At 39.7% G+C, this 17,103-nt stretch overlaps 1 long non-coding RNA gene and 1 pseudogene across 13 annotated transcripts in view, besides 1 other annotated feature; one reads left to right on the top strand and one right to left on the bottom strand.

The window, feature by feature from the left end:
* SAMMSON (survival associated mitochondrial melanoma specific oncogenic non-coding RNA) overlaps window positions 1–17,103 on the top strand; it is a 435,002-nt gene that overhangs the window by 118,712 nt on the left and 299,187 nt on the right. The window lies entirely within an intron of this gene.
* Window positions 2,147–2,366: an enhancer, noted in NCBI's record as "active region_20057". NCBI's record gives its function as "activates an Ori minimal core promoter by ATAC-STARR-seq in GM12878 lymphoblastoid cells {active_cell/tissue: GM12878}" and the evidence as "EXISTENCE:reporter gene assay evidence [ECO:0000049][PMID:35858748]".
* Window positions 6,556–8,357, bottom strand: RNPC3P1 (RNA binding region (RNP1, RRM) containing 3 pseudogene 1; annotated as a pseudogene).

Genomic DNA, 17,103 nt, shown 5'->3' on the forward strand with positions numbered 1-17,103 from the left:
GGCAGTAGTGACCTGAATTACCAGATAGTTTCTCCATTGTTGTTACATTGTCTTTATGCCAGCAAGTTCAAATGTACCATTAAAAAGTTTATGTTGACCTGAGATGTCTGTTAGAATCTTTTTTCCCCCAACCTTTTATTTTGCACCCAAAATGTGTTCTGAGAAACGTTAATCCCCAGAAACACTCATCATAAAAGGATTTCAGGTCAAATAATTCTGTGGAAATCTGAATACTGAATTATATTTTGATTAAAAGGAGCATGGGAAAGGCTCTGAGAAGCCCTGCATTCTGTTCTGTAAAACAGAAATCTGTTCTGCATTGTTCAATGTCCCACCTCTCAAACTGATTTAACCATGGCACCCCGAGCCCTTTTTTAGCATCCAACATCTACTTGCTTCCTTTCAAACTAATGTTGTGGGGACCCTGCTGTGGTAAATATGTCTCAGTTAAACAACCTTTGTGAGGTAGCTGTTACCCCTATTTTACAGGTGAAGAAACTGAGGCTCAGAAGTTAAGTAACCTGCCCAAAGACATACTACTCTTAAGTGATATAGCTAAGATGTGAAGCCTCAAGTCTGAAGCCTATCCTATAATCTGGCAATGTGACCAGAAAATATGAGGAGATAGATTTGTTTGAATATATGGACCATTTCCAGCTACACTTAGCAACTTTATCTGTTCTGCTTTTCTGTGCACTCTTTCCTAGATTTCTTTTCTCCTCGTGTTCATGTCATTGGGGTTTTGTAAGAAAACTACTCTTATTTATTTATTATTATTTTTTTTGAGACGGAGTTTCGCTCTTGTTACCCAAGCTGGAGTGCCATGGCGTGATGTCGGCTCACTGCAACGTCCACCTCTTGGGTTCAAGCAATTCTCCTACCTCAGCCTCCTGAGTAGCTGGGATTACAGGCGCCCGCCACCACACCTGGCTAATTTTTATATTTTTAGTAGAGACAGGGTTTCACCATGCTAGCCAGGCTGCTCTCGAACTCCTGACCTCAGGTGATCCACCTGCCTTGGTCTCCCAAAGTGCTGGGATTACAGGCGTGAGCCACTGCCCCCTGACCGCTACTCTTATTACATACAGTATATTTACTTAGAAAACGGTAATTGAATTCCATGTAATACAGTAATTAGGACTGGGCTGAAATAGCACATAGAACAGAAAATTTTATAATAAATATATAATGGCACAGAGGAAAGAAAAACATGTACATTACCTCAAAGCTGGGAATGACATTCAGGAAAATATTGTGAGTCCATTGAGCAACATGAAATGCAGGAATCCACTTTCCTGGACAGACCATTTAAGCAAATTTCAGAAATATTCAAAAGCTTCAATTTTATATGTAATATTAAAATAAAGGTTATATCAAGAAAAATGTTTAAATACATTAAAAGATTCCTCATAGTGAGAAAAAATGTTTTTAATTTGTGTGTAAACACATTATCTATGTATATATCTTTATTCTCTATATATACATGTGCATTTTTGTGGTAAGAAAGCATGCACATGAATATACAAATATGCATATATATGTAACTAATACAAACAACCTTGTATTTGAATTGTTAAAATATCCATTTTGGTTATTTTAAATGTAATAGAATTTTAGATTCCTTTAATAAATGCCCAGTGGATAGATTTATTATTATTATTATTTTTAATTTCCTGCATCAGATCTAGGTCTTTGATAAATACCACAGACAACCCCAGAACTGTAGGATGGGCTTGACAGTTCTTCAATAAAGGGCTGTGTGGTTTTTTTTGTCAGTGTCTTCCTTCCAGTGACAGCTGCTTTGTTCTTTTCTAGTCAGATTTTCTAGTTAACACATCAAAAGTGTATCTGTGTACATGAAGTACGAAGAAAACAGTTCAAAGAGGTAAGAGATTCACTTTTAACTCTTCACCACATTTTCCCCACACTTGTCACGAGAGACACTTCATATGGGGGCTTTGGAATAAGGTGAGGAGTTCAGAATGGAACCCAGGGATGTATGGCATTTGGTGATTAGCATTTTAGAAGGCGAGTCGGTCAGCCAGTGCTCTGAGAGAACCCCAAATTAGCGAGAGCTAATCTAGGATGAAGAATTTGATTTTTTTCAGGACAGTCAAGCCCATGCATTTGATTGGATGCAGGTTTTTACATTCAATTCACGTCAAAGTTTGGTTTCTTCTCGCCATACCATGATGGCCCGCCATGATGACAGAAGCTGCCTGCTTCACGCATGTACTCTGGAGTGTTGCTCTCACCTCTGCCAGCAGGAGGAGCTCTTGCACTCATGTGAGAACTGAAGTCAGCCATGCCTCCATGCTCAAGCAAATGTCCTTGGAGGTGACACTCCAAGATTGTTTTTGACTGAGGCGACTAAACCTGAATTGGCAGTGAAATATTAAAAACGCAGGAGAGTATCCTCTAGCACCTAGTCTTCTCTTGAAGCTCTCTCAAGTGTCTGCTGAGTCAGGGATGCACTGAAGCAATGATCATATAGAGCAGTGATCCCCAACCTTTCTGGCACCAGGGACTAGTTTTATGAAAGACAATTTTTCCACGGACTGGAGGTGTGGGGGGATGGTTTCGGGATGATTCAAGCGCATTACATTTATTGTGCAATTCATTTCTATTATTACATCGTAATACATAATGAAATAATTATGCAACTCACCATTATGTAGAATCAGAGGGTACTCTGAGCTTGTTTTCCTGCAACTAAATGGTAAGCCGTATCTGGGGGTCATGAGAGACAGTGACAGATCATCAGGCATTAGATTCTCACAAGGAGCACGCAATCTAGATTCCTTGCATGTGCAGTTCACAATAGGGTTCGCGCTCCTATAAGAATCTAACGCCACTGCTGATCCGACAGGAGGCGGAGCTCAGGTGGTGATGTGAGCCATGGGGAGCAGCTGTAAACACAGATGAAGCTCCACTTGCCAGCTCACCTCCTGCTGTGCAGCCCTGTTCCTAACAGGCCACAGATCAGTACTGGTCCCTGGCCCGAGGGTTGGGGACCCCTGCTGTAGAATGCAGCCTTTCATCTCCTCCTCTCAGTCATACCTAGCATAAGCCCTGAGTAGGAGGATGTCTAGAAAGAACTCTCCATCAGTTGAAATGGGCCCATACTGTACTGTATCGTGTGTATGTTTGTAGTGTACCAAGCAAGGCAAAAAAAAATACACATTTACTTTAAAGAATTTTTACATTTGATCTTTTAACAAAGCATCAGAAGAGTCATCATGAGAAAAATAAAGACTTTCTTGGACTTTCTTCAGCTTCCTTTATAGTCGAGCATGGTTTTAAAATTTGAATTATGTAAGCTTTTCAGTAACTTGGGGCTTTGAAAGTCTTAAGCCGGCCCAAGCAAAAGCCAATACACACAGCAAACAAACAAAATAGTGCTGAATTTCCTGAGCGTCCACTGTGTTTCTGGTGCTGGTGCTGCCTTAGGCGTGAAGGAGACAGGACAGTGACAGGGCAGGGACAAAGACTGGTGGCCGACTGCCTGGAGTCAGCCGAGTCAGCTACGTAGCTTAACTACTTTAAGCTTGCATTCTCCCATTTGAAAGTGTGGATTCTAAGGATCCCCCCTGCACAATGTTGTTGTGTTTGAAGCGGGGTGTTACTTGGCACAGTCCAGGCACTTGGTATGAATCTCGTAAGAGACTCAGAGGGACACCACCATTGACCAGGGTCTCGACAGACCTGGGATATAATAACAAGTATCGATTTGGTGCCAAAAATTATCCTATTATACTGTTTGTGTGGGACATTTACTTTGGAATTAATAATAAGAGGTAAAAAGTATTAGTCATTGAGGATTTTATTTTCACTAATACTATGCAGTCTATAATCAGGAATGTGATGGTCTTTATAATTTTATCTCTTTCCTATTAATTTTCCTTTTTTGTAAGACAAAATTTCTCTCTGTCACCCAGGCCGGAGTGTAGTGGTGTGAGCCTGGCTCACTGCAGCCTTTACCTCCTGGGCTCAAGCAATCCTCCTACCTCAGCCTCTTGAGTAGCTGGGACTACAGGCGTGTCCACTAAGCCCAGCTAATTATTATATATTTTCTTTGTGTGTGTGGAGACGGGGTTTGGGGTTTTACCATGTTGCCCAGGCTGGTCTCAAACTCCTGGGCTCCAGCAATCCACCTGCTCGCCCTCCCAAATTGTTAGGATTACAGGCCTATGCCATTGCACTCAGCCCAATTTTCAATTATTAAAGAACATAAAGAATATAGATATGCTTATTAACAAATGTAAAATAACATTATGAACGTTTAAAACAGTAATAATTTAACATTAACTGTCAATAAGAAAACAAATAGTGAAAAAAACATGTTTTTTATTCAAGATGAAAAGCTGTGAAACAGAAGATTTTTCTCTATTTCAGGCATGTATTCCTTAAATTGTTTCTAGAATAGATAACTTTTGAAAGATTAGTTTTCTAGGTCTCAAAATAGGATTGTTTTGCAAAATAAGTTTTTTATCCTATAGCATAACTTTTGCATGTACTGTAATTAATAGCAATGCTTTTCAATTTTTAAATTGTCTGCCAAATTTTTCCAACCTTACTGTTCTCGAATGTCTTCTCCAATATTTTCTTTTGTATAGCATTCACCTCACCGTCCTAGGGCATTCCAAAGTGTGTTTTTTGCAGTGAGGAATGCTCTCCTTGTGGTTCCCAACTCTCTGGACTTCTAAATTACCTGAAATACTTAAAAATAGTCCCTAGCCCTTACCTGATAACTCCTAGATAAATAGTTACAGCCTCAGAACCATTCAGAGGGCTTGTTAGAGCACAGATGATGGGGCTACCCACAGACTTCTCATTCAGTGGGGCTGGGGAAGGGGCCCAAGACTCTGCATTTCTACCAAGTTCAAAGATTCTACTGATGCTGCTGGACTGGGGACATACTTTGGTAACCTCTATATTAGATCATGCCTTGCTGGTAAGCTAGTTTGTTTTGTTTTGTGTTTTTTGAGATGAAGTCTCGCTCTGTTGCCTAGGCTGGAGTACAGTGGTGTGATCTTGGCTCACTGCAACCTCTGCCTCCCGAGCTCAGGCAATTGATTCTTGTGCCTCAGTCTCCAGAGTAGCAAGGATTACAGATGCCTGCCACCACGCCTAGCTAATTTTTGTATTTTTGTAAAGACAAGGTTTTGCCATGTTGACCAGGCTGGTCTCGAACTCCTGAGCTGAAGCGATCCACTTGCCTCAGCTTCCCAAAGTGCTGGGATTACAGGCATGAGCCACCATGCCCAGCCGGGTAAGCTAGTTTTAAAGCACACTCCCTCACTCCCCAGCCCCTGACCAGGTGATTATGGCGTTCAGCCATGCTTGGAAACCAGTGTTCTGGGAATAGTTTACATGGCTTTGTCACTGCTCACATGTCACCTGGGCAGGGAACTGAGCCAGGGAGTAGAAAGCCTTTAAGGTGCCTTCAAGTTTGTAGGGAGGAGCAGATCCCCTCTCAGAGATGTGCAGATGTGTTGGGGGCAGGGAGAGTGCAGGAAGGTAAAGCCTTCAGGCTTTTGGAGGGCCTCTGAGGATTCCCTTTCCAGAATCATTTTAAGGTATCAGAATGAAATGGAGCCAGCATGTGTGAGGATAAATGAGCACCCAGCACAGGAAGTAGCATAGCAGGAATGCAGGGAGTGAGAGCCATTTTCAATGTTGTTGCCTCTGAACAGATTGGGCGGATGCCCGGAAGACAGATTCTAGGTCCAGCTTCCTCGCTGACTAACTGGGTACCCTGGGGAAGTCACAATCTCTCCTGGCCTTGGTTTCCTGAACATTCTCTCACCTCTTGAATCGGTCACTGTGATTATTTGATTGTCTGTCTCCTGGGTTGTACTTTGTCTTATCCCCTACCATATCTCTAGCACACAGCAGAGAGCCTACCTCACAGAACTTATTAGATGAATGAGTGAAGTTAATGACTATGTTTCTCTTCAATGTTCTATGGGAGTACTTGGCTCAGAGTAGGTATTCTATAAATAACTACTGAATGAACTAATGAATAAACTTACAAGTTACAGGTGTGACTAATCACAGGCTTTTTATCATTTGCGGGAGAAATGCGTATTTTTAAAAAGCTTGTTCGGTAATTAGGTACTAGGGAATCACATATACAAAAAATTTCCAAGTGTTATAATGTTAGTTGATAACATTTTTACCTGACATGTAAGCATTCTTTTATTATTAGACTTAAAATACTGTACCTGTGGCCGAGTACCGTGGCTCACGCCTGTAATCCCAGCACTTTGGGAGGCTGAGGCGGGTGGATCACAAGGTCAGGAGATCAAGACCATTCTGGCTAACACAGTGAAATCCCGTCTCTACTAAAAATACAGAAAAAAATTAGCTGGGTGTGGTGGCGGGCGCCTGTAGTCCCAGCTACTTGGGAGGCTGAGGCAGGAGAATGGCGTGAACCCGGGAGGCAGAGCTTGCAGTGAGTCAAGATCGTGCCAGTGCACTCCAGCCCAGGCAACAGAGCGAGACTCCATCTCAAAAAAAAAAAAAAAAAAAAAAAAAGAAAGAAAGAAAGAAAAAGAAAATAATTTATTATATTTGAGGAAGGTCATTAAAATACATATAATATAGTTCCAATACACTGATTTAAAGGCATATGTATTTAATTTTTAAATATACTTTCAAAGCTGTTATGCACAGTTCCATAGTCCAGGTGGTCAATTTCTTCCTGTCCAAGTTGGAAAGCCCTTGAAAGATACAGGATTCAAAAGAAACCTTTATTAATTTTTAACACTTTCTTTTTCCTTCCTTAGGATCTGGTTTTTGTCTAGCAGATCGAGCAAATTGAACCACCATGGGTTTTCCAAAAAGCACATATCCATTAGCTTCCTTTAAGGCTTTTGCTGCTGCTTTTTCATTAGGAAGTCCAATGGAAGCTTGTCCTTTCATACGACCTTCTTTCATCAAACGTATATCAAACATGATCTACTGTGTTTCTGATGAAAAGTCAACATATCTTCCAAAAATATATTTAAGGTCCTTTTCTTGAACATGTTTAGCTAAATTCTTTACATAAATTCTACAGTTTGGTTCACCAGGTTCATAACTTCTGAAAACTGAAAGTGTTTCCATTTCTTCTCTAGAAATTCTGTCCTTTTCCAATTCCCTTCTAGAAATACATTCCGATGGCATTTCATCAGAGTCTTTTTTAATCTCTTCTGTGATGTTCAAATTAGGTTTGGGAAAGATTTTTCCAAATCCTATACTGGATGCATCAGCTTCAGTAACAGGTAGATCATTATTTTTTTCTCACAATTTTGTTTCTTCTCTAAATCTTTCTTAAATGCAGCTGGCATGTCGGTAGATATATGGAATTCAATTCTTTTATTACCTACAGGTTGTGGTTGGTCAAATACATCCGAAGGTAACAGCACTAGATGTAAACTGTTTTGTGAAGGACACGAAAGTATGTTCAACATATCCTTTATTTTTCTCTTTTTTCTCACATGGCGCTGCCTTATTGTTTTGGGTCTTTGGGGCTGAAGATTTGCTAGTTCCATTAGTTTGTTCATTTTCTGTTGGTCCTCATCATCACTGCTGTCATCTTCTAATTCTTCACTAGATAATTCCTCATCGTCTTCTGGCCAAGGAGGTTCCTCAGGTGGCTGAGGAGATGTGGGTGGAAGAGGTGGATGCAATGGCATATGGTCTTCATAGATGGGAGGCTGCGCAGTAATTGATCTAAAAGCTGTGGGCAAATTCATTTTATTCATAAGATGAAGGACCTGTACATAGAACTTAGGCACGCTTGCCAAAGCATTTACTCTGTTTGTTAGGATTGTGCTGGAAGGTGGTGGGTACATATACTTGAGGCATGAATTAAGAAAAGTCAGCCCATGGTTTGGTGTAATTACATTTTCTACTGTTAAATAACCAATTCTTTCTTTTCTTTATCGTCTTCAACAGGGTCATCAGACCTTTTTTTTTTTTTTTCAGAGACTGGAGTGGGACATGGGGAGTGAACTTGATCTTGCTCTTTTGCAAATTCAAAGACTAAAGTATGACCTAAAAGTTTCAGCTGATGGAGTCTTGTCAATGCCTTTATAGCTGCTTTTTAGGGAATGTGGCAAAAGCTGTATGTTTCAGCTGCCCCTTATCTGACAGGTCATGCACCAACCGTGCCTTGAAGTACTTCAGCAAGTCCTCTTTCTCCTCAGCGGTCAGCTCAGCTGGCAGGTGCCTCACCAGAAGAGTTCGGTCGGCCGAGGCAGGGAAAGTGGGGAGGAGCTTGTGCATCCCCTTGATATTGCAAATGGCTGATAGAGAGCTGGCATTTTCAAGCAAAAATTGGCCCAGAGACATGTGGGACTCACTGTCAAGATTAATTGTGAAAAGCTGGGCAAGGCTAAGAAGTTAGGTTTTGTTTTTGTTTTTGTTTTTGTTTTTTGTTTTTTTTGAGATGGAATCTTGCTCTGTTGCCTAGGCTGGAGTGCAGTGGCACAGTCTCTACACACTGCAACCTCTGCCTCCTGGGTTCAAGCGATCCTCCCACCTCAGCCTCCCAAGTAGCTGGGATTACAAGCATGTGCCACTATGCTGGGTAATTTTTGTATTTTTAGTAGAGACGGGGTTTCACCATGTTGGCCAGGCTGGTCTTGAACTCCTGACTTCACCTGATCTGCCTGTCTTGGCCTTCCAAAGTACTGGGATTATAGGAGTTGGCCACTGTGCCTGGCCAAAATTAGGCTTTTAATCAAATAAAATTAAGTGGAACATTTTGAACTGTCCAAGATGGGTAGCATATATTATACTTATGTGAACGAATGTTTTAAATTATGACAAAGGCTGTACCACTTAAGAGTGTGGGCTTCTATGTTTCAGAGAAATTGGTATCTAAAGCAAAGCTTCCCAAATAATGATATAAGATGTCATTTATTTTTATTCTAAAGGAAAGAATAAAATGTTTACATCCATACTTTATCATCACTATTATTATTTTCAACTTTCAGGATCCTCTTACTACATTCTTCCTTCTAGGGAAGACAGTGGTACAATACCCAGCAAACAGCAGCCCATGGGTGTTTATCAGGGTCAGGATCATAAATTATCAGAACTTAATGAGTCCCTGGTGCTGGATGGCAGACAAGAGGCCATATGTTTTCATTCTCCACACCTAAACTCTAGGCAGACCAGGGAAGTTGATAATGGCTGCATTTCCTATCCTACTACCAATGAGATATAGGATCTCATGTCTTCGAAAAATTTATTTTTATTAACAAATATAAATGGAAGCTACTAGGATTGATCAGCATCTGCAAGTGGAATGACTCCTATTTGCCATAACTAAATTAGTCCATGCCCCACATTTTGTTCTATTTTTTTGAGACAAAATCTTGCTCTGTCACCCAGGCTGGAGCACAGTGGTGCAATCTCGGCTCACTTCATCTTCTGCCTCCCAGTTTAAAGCTATTCTTGTGCCTCAGCCTCTCAAGTAGCTGGGACTACAGGTACGTGCTGGCATGCTTAGCTGATTTTTGTATATTTAGTAGAGATGAAGTTTCACCATGTTGGCCAGGCTGGTCGCTAACTCCTGACCTAAAGTAGTCCGCCTGCCTTGGCCTCCCAAAGTGCTGGGATTACTGCATGAGACACTGTGCCCAACCATGCCCCACATTTTATAGATGATAGTTCATACTCTGGAGTACAAGGATTAGTAAGGACCAGAATGGATAACGTTCCTGGGTCAGGCATCATTTTCAGTTCACATGTTGAGTGAATGGAATAGCCCGCAGAAGTATGTAGGATCAAAGGAAATACTGTAAAGTGATTTAAATGTGTCTGGGGGAGCATCCCTCTTCCTGTTCCCAGTTTCTAGGCATTCTTGCCTTCCGGCTGATCCTGACATTTGGAGTCCTGCAGTAAGTCACTCCATCTAAGACTGTCTACACAAGAAGTGCCTCAATTCCCCTTATTCCTCTCCCGAACCAAAACTACCATTTCTCCATCTGAATAGCTGCCAAGAATGTGTATATTACTGATAAGTTCACCTTGACGGTCCCTGAATGTTCCAATAAATACTAGTCCAGCAAGAAAAATAAAAATGAGTTTTGAGGTTAAATATATACTTCACAGACCCTGCTTGGAGATTCCCAACAAATATTAGCTCCAAAAAGTCCCAGGTCAGGAATCCAGTTTAATATTTTAAACCATTTCATATTTTAAAAGGTAGCCTGATAATTCAAAAGACAATGATTGAAATACGGACTCTCATGATTGGAATAAAGACATCATATGATTATGGGAGATTTCCCTATCTATCCTCTTTCAGAAATGTTTTCCTCTTATTTTAGAAATTCTTATTTGAAAGGTTGCCCTTTCCTATTCATCTTTCGATTGTCTGACTCTTTAAGAAAGGGAACCAATCCTTGGCTATGTTTTGGGGGTGACATGAACCTGAGAGGTCCAGACAAGGAATTCTTTTCAATTAGGAGCAAGATAAGAAGCATTTGGGGCATGAAATTAACATTGTGGTTTATTACTAATGATGTCTATTAATAACCCTCAGTATCTCTCTTAAACATTTTTGCCTGGTATATCTGGTAGTGCAGGAAAGTGAAAAGTATGAAAAATTTAGAGAATTTGTAGCAGTGTAGAAAGTAATATTTCACGGAGTAGGTAAATATAGTAATTTTCAATTTAAAAACTGCCTTATAAGGTTTATGTAAGCATCAAATGCATATAAATCTTTAACACCCGGTCTGGCACCAATAAATATTTTCTATTAAAAATAACAGAAAAGAGCAATTTCCTTTCACATTTATTGGATACTGGGATTATATGTATCTGGCCTGTGTCTCTATCTTCTGATTTAACATTTTGATAAAAGTAACCTCTTTTGTAACTGATAAGCTTTCCAAGTGGTCAAACTAGTGTGGTTGTCAAATGTGATGCAATTTTCTGTTAAATAACGGAAAACATTTATTAAGTACTTACTGTGTTCCAGGTTTTACTTTAAGCTTTTTGACATATATCATTTCATTTCCATAACAACCTTAAAAGATAAACATTTTTATGATTGCACTCATTTCCCAGATGAGGATACTGATGTTTAAGCAAAATTAAGTAAACATCAGATAAACAGCAATTGGTGGAAAACATTCGAGTATCTTTTAAAATAAATGTGTGATAGTATATGTTTGACATGGAAACAATGTTAGGGATGGCCTATTTTTAATATATCTTTCATAAATAAGAGTAATGAGGCCTACAAAGGGATTGAATCTTATTCTTGATGACCCAGCTGGTAGTCAGACTCAGATCTTTTATCCAGCAAGTTCATTTTATTCAATGATCCTGGGACTGCTTATAGATTATAGTCTATAGATATGAAACTAACCCTAATTAAACATATCTCTGAGCTAGTTGCAGCAGATTGTATTTTCCATAATGAATGAATGTATAGCTATAGCTATATATTCCATCCCACATTCTCTTTTTAAAATATGATATGGACACTGTTCCATCAAGAGATGGGGACTTTGTTCTGCCACTTTGAAAACAGTTAGACTTTATTTTATTTTACTTTAAAACATTATTTATTTAATGTTATATATTTAAGCTGTACAACATGATGTTTTGATATACTTTATACATAGTGAAATGGTTACTATACTCGAGCAAATTAACACATCTATTATGTCACAGGGAAGTAACCCTTTGTGTGTATGTGGTAAGAGCCCCTCTAATCAATGGAATGGCAATATACACCTGTTTGAATTTTAGAACTGTGGTGAAACAGTGATGACAGTCTCCCATGCCCCCTCTTTATGAATAGGGCTGTTCTTAGCAGGGAGTCTACAGCTGTCCCACCATTGAATGTTGAATGTTTCTGGAATAGATAAATTGTCTCATTGATTAACAGTCTTAAGATGGAGACGAATATAGTTGAGCAGCTGTAAGTCAAAGAATTGCATCTGAGGAGCCACGTCTGTCTGTACACGGACCTGAGGTGATTGTGGCGACAAGATCATGGACTTTGAGTTGATGCTGCAATAAGACTTGAGGGTTTCAAGAGAGGAATGGTATATTTTGCATGTGCTAGGGTTGTGAATTATTGTGGCCAGAAGCAAACTGTGGCAGATGGCATTTCCAAAGTTGGCCATACAAATATACATCCCATGCTGTATGCTATTCTTACAACGTGATAATGACATTTCTTTGTTCCCTCTGCTTGAAACTGGATGTAACTTGGTAACTGTCCTGAGCTATAGAATGCAATGGAGGTGGCACTGGGTGACTTCTGAAGTTAGCACATCAAAGGTGATGTGGCTTCTGCTTGGCCCTCACTCCCTCTTGGGATGCACACCTGTGGAACCGAACTCAGTTATTATGTTTTGAGGAAGCCCAGGCCACATGGAGAAGCCAGGTGAACATGTTCTAGCCAACACCTTCAACTAGGTTCTCAGCCAATAGCTAACAAAACCATGTGAGTGAATGAACTTTTAGATGATCAAGACCTCAATCTTCAAGGACTCTAAAGACTTCAAAGATTTTTAGGCCTCCATCTCAGGCCTCAGGTATCATGGAGCATAGACATGCTATTCTCTCTGTGCTCTGTCCAAGTTCCTGACCTGCAGAATCTATGAGTACAATAACTGGTTGTTTTATGCCACTAGGTTTTGGGATAGTTTATTATTCAACTATATTAAATGAAACTCTGGTCAGTTAAGAATAATATTGAATGCCCAAATAAGTATATAACCATTGTTTGGTTACCACTGGTATAAAATAGGGTACTTTTTGACTGCAAGTAACAGAAACTTAACTCAAGCCAGTTTTAAAAATAGAAGATATATCATCTCACTTAACAGAGCCCAGAAGTCAGACGAGCTTTAAGTCTGGTATTCTGAGTGGCTCAGCGATATCATTGAGGAACTCAGACTCTTTGAATTCATAGAGCATTCTCAGGATAGCATTATTTTAGTCTAAAAGCAGGATGCTTTTGAAAGTTGCAAGTTTCCTCTACAGTCAAAATTATGTCCAGAAGAAAGAGACTTCTGTGGTTCTCTCTTAGGAGTAGGAAATTTGCTTAGAAGCAATCCCCAACCCCATGAGGTTTTCCCTGCTATCTCATTGTAAGCTGAAAATTCTTATTTACTAGACTATGAAATGAACATGATTGGCTCAGCCAGTTGTCTGGGGCAGGGTGAATACTGGGAAGTTGCCTTCATGTCCATTATTTTCTTCTCTTATTTATCTTACTCCAATCATGAACAGGAAGAACAGGGTTTAGTTAATGCAAGGCAATATAATTTGCAATTAAAAAAAAATAGAGGGTTTCGCTTTGCTGCTGGAGCCCAGTGGCATGATCATGGCTCATTGCAGCCTCAACCTCCTAAACTCAAACGATTCTCTCACCTCGGCCTCCTGAGGAACTGGGACTATAAGCATACCCCACCACACCCAGCTAGTTTTTTTGATTTTTTAAGTAGAGGTAGGGTCTCACTAAATTGCTCGTCTAGAACTCCTGATCCCAATTGATCCACCCACCTCAGCCTCCCAAAGTGTTGGGATTACAGGCGTGAGACACTATGCGTGGTCAGGATTTGCAATTCTCGATCATGCTTACAAGTAGCCTACCTATAGTCAGATCTAGAGAATAAATAGGAGATGATATTGAGAAATAAAAATAAAATTCCAAGCTTCCCAAATGACTGAAAGGACCCCCTCTTGGCCAAGGGGACCCTAGAGAAACCTTAAAAACTGAGTTCTTAGCCATGGCAGGGTAGGAAGTCAGACACACCTCATTATATCCCCTCCCTCACTAAACACCGTTAGGCTTTCTTCCCTAAGGGTTAAACAAAACCAGTCCTTTTGAAAGACTGGGTCCTCCACTGATATCAACCAACTGCCTGATGCTGCCCCTCCTTTTTGTGACTTCAATACAGCAGCCAACCAGCATTTCTTCCTGATAAAAGACCGTTGACCATGGGATGGTTCTGGACAGTCTTTGAAGGCTATGCACAGAGGGCCTTTTTGTCCTCTGCTTCACATTTGGCTGTATAGGCCCTAATTGTAATACATTTAAATGTTAAGTCTCCACCCCAAAGTGAACATGAGGTACATGCTGTGTACATGTTAGCCTACTACACATGCCCATGCCTCCCCTTCACAAATGTTCACAGCTCCTCCTATAATCTGTGGGATATGTGTAGTTGGCAACCCCTATCAACATATATCCTTGTCTTATTCTTCCCAGCCTCAAGGTGCCTGTTTTTGGCTTCTGGCAGGAAGCTACATTTTCCAGCCTGTCAGAATGGCCATCTTGCAGGCTGCAACCTTTATGAGAAATAAAACTCTCCTTTCCAAATTTCGGAACCTTGGGTTGGGTGTGGTGGCTCATGCCTATAATCCCAGCACTTTCGGAGGCCAAGGCAGGTGGATCCCTTGAGCTCAGGAGTTCGAGATCAGCCTGGGCAACACGATGAGACCCTAAAAAAAAAAAAAAGAAAAGAAAAAAAAAACAATTTATGAACCTTGTCATTCTTCAGTTGACAATCAATGTGCAATGTTTGAAGTTTCTTTAAAGATGAGCTTTGTAAGGCAGATCTTATAAAGGCAAATGTACATTCCCATCGCTGACTTAGACATGAGTGTTTGCTACCAGGTGAATGGTGTCTGTTAATGGTCTCACCTGTGAATAAATGAGAGAAACAAGTATATAGGGCACTGTGATATTGTGATTATAATACTATATTATAAGAAATATATCCTTCCAACCCCCATTTTCTAGCACGCAGCTTCTACAACCTCTGGAATCTCTGAAGTGATATATCTTTTTACATGCTGATGAGATGACTAATGGCTGGTGGCCCCTAGATAGCTGCAGGGTGGGGGCTGGTTTCTAGGGGAACCAGTCATGTGATTAGAGAGTTGTAACTTTCAGCCCCACTTCGTGACTGAAGGTTGAGTTGATTACCAATGGCTGATGATTTAATCAATCAGGCCCGCATAAGGAAGCCTTCATAAAAACGCAAAAGGACAGGGTTCAGAGAGCTTCCGAGCTGCTGAACACATGCAGGATGACCTGCTGGAGAAGGCATGGACACTCTGCCCCTGTCCCCCATGTCTTGCCCTAAGCATCTCTTCTGTTTGGCTGTTTCTGAGTTGCATCCTTTTATAATAGATCATAAATGTAAGTAACATGTTTTCTGGAATTCAATGAGCTATTCTGACAAATGATTGAGCCCAAAGGGAGGTTATGGGAGTCCTTCAATTTATAGCTGGTGAGTTAGAAGCACAGGTCACAGTCTGGGGCTTGTGACTGGTATCTGAAGTGTGGGTAGTCTTGTGGGAATGAGCTCTTAACCTGTGGGGTCTGACACTGTCTCCACATAGATAGTCTCAAAATTAACCTAAGTTGTAGGGCACAGTTGAGTTAAATTTTAGGCAGTTGGTGTCTGTCAAAGAATTGATGTGTACTGAGGGAGTGTGAGTAAAGAGAGGTAAAACAGTTGTTTTTTCCTTACTCAGTCATAAATATATGATCCACATGTTAATTAATTTTCTGAGGTATAGCAGGTAAGAATCCAGGCTTTGGGTTCAGACTGATGTGAGTTTCCTCATCTGTAAAGTGAAGATAATATTTTCTACCTTGCTAGGTGGTTGTAAAATTAAACAAAATGGGCCAGGTGCGGTGGCTTACGCCTGTAATCCCAGCACTTTGGGAGGCCAAGGCAGGCAGATCACGAGGCCAGGAGTTCGAGACCTGTCTGGCCAACATGGTGAAACCCCGTCTCTACTGAAAATACAAAAAAAAAAAAAAAAAAAAAAATTAGCTGGGCATGGTGGCAGGTGCCTGTAATCCCAGCTACTTGGGAGGCTGAGGCAAGAGAATTGTTTGAATCCGGGAGACGGAGGTTGCAGTGAGCCGAGATTGTGCCACTGCACTCCAGTCTAGGTGACAGGACGAGATTCCATCTCAAAAAAAAAAAAATATTAAATGAAATGATGTATGTGAAGAAGTTTGTGCCCAGTAGTGTTCCTGATACATAGAAAGTATTCAATAAATGATTTTTTTAACTTTTTTTTTTTTTTAATAAAAAGTACTCAGTCTGACCTATGAAAAAGTGTTAAGTACTACTTGGAGGTATCCCTGCATTTCAAGTGTTTTTGTTGACTACAGTTGCAATGATACAATATTTGCCAGCCAAATAAAATATTTCCCAATGGATATATACTGAAAGTAGCAAACAAATAAAGTGTAAACATATGACTTAACTTGCATGCTTTACATAGAAGCATAGTTATATTTAGCTTAAGACACAACTAAGGTATTTCATTCTTTAAATGTATATATTACAGTATATAATTTAATCTCAGTAAAATAGAAAAACATTTTTATGACATATTTCTAATTCATTGTTATTTTATTACTTATACATATGATACATATTTATTTCTAAAACAAATATATGTCTTTGGCCACCTATTTTATTTTCTTGGGATACAGGCGGTACATTACTCATGAATGGCAGTGTGTGTCAGTTATTTATCTTTCCAAAGTATCTAAAAGTGAATGAAGCTTGAATTGGGCAAGGAAGTATCATAAATTAAAAAGTGAATCTCTAAGAAAAGCTGGAAAAAGGTTTGAATAAAATTAAAGTACATTTTGCCATAAAATGTAACTGTCAAAGTGGCATGAACCCAAATATGAATTAGAATTGAATTGAATTTGTATTTTTATCTGCACTAAAGAATCATTTTGAAATCATTGATCTTGGCCAGCTTAAATCTTTATTTTTCTGATAACATGTCAATCAGGTATAAAGGTGGTGAGAGACAATTTAAACCTGTGCATTTATTTGTCAATAAAACCTATGGTCTTATTGGTTTTTTCTCAGTTGCATTGTTTTATCATGTCAATATTTCATAAGATTATATGACTGACTAATGGGAATAGCTATTACCACTGTTGATGTACTTTGAAAATAGCAATCTATATTTTATGGACCAGAAAGAAACAAAATATGTACCTTTGACCTTATTGAGCATAAAAGTAAGTTAATGTAAATGAAATTTATCTATTATTTCACCTATTCACAATTAGCTTCTTATAGCCTCAGG

The sequence above is a fragment of the Homo sapiens genome, chromosome 3 (genome assembly GCF_000001405.40).
Source record: "Homo sapiens chromosome 3, GRCh38.p14 Primary Assembly".
NCBI classification, from domain to species: Eukaryota; Metazoa; Chordata; class Mammalia; order Primates; family Hominidae; genus Homo; species Homo sapiens.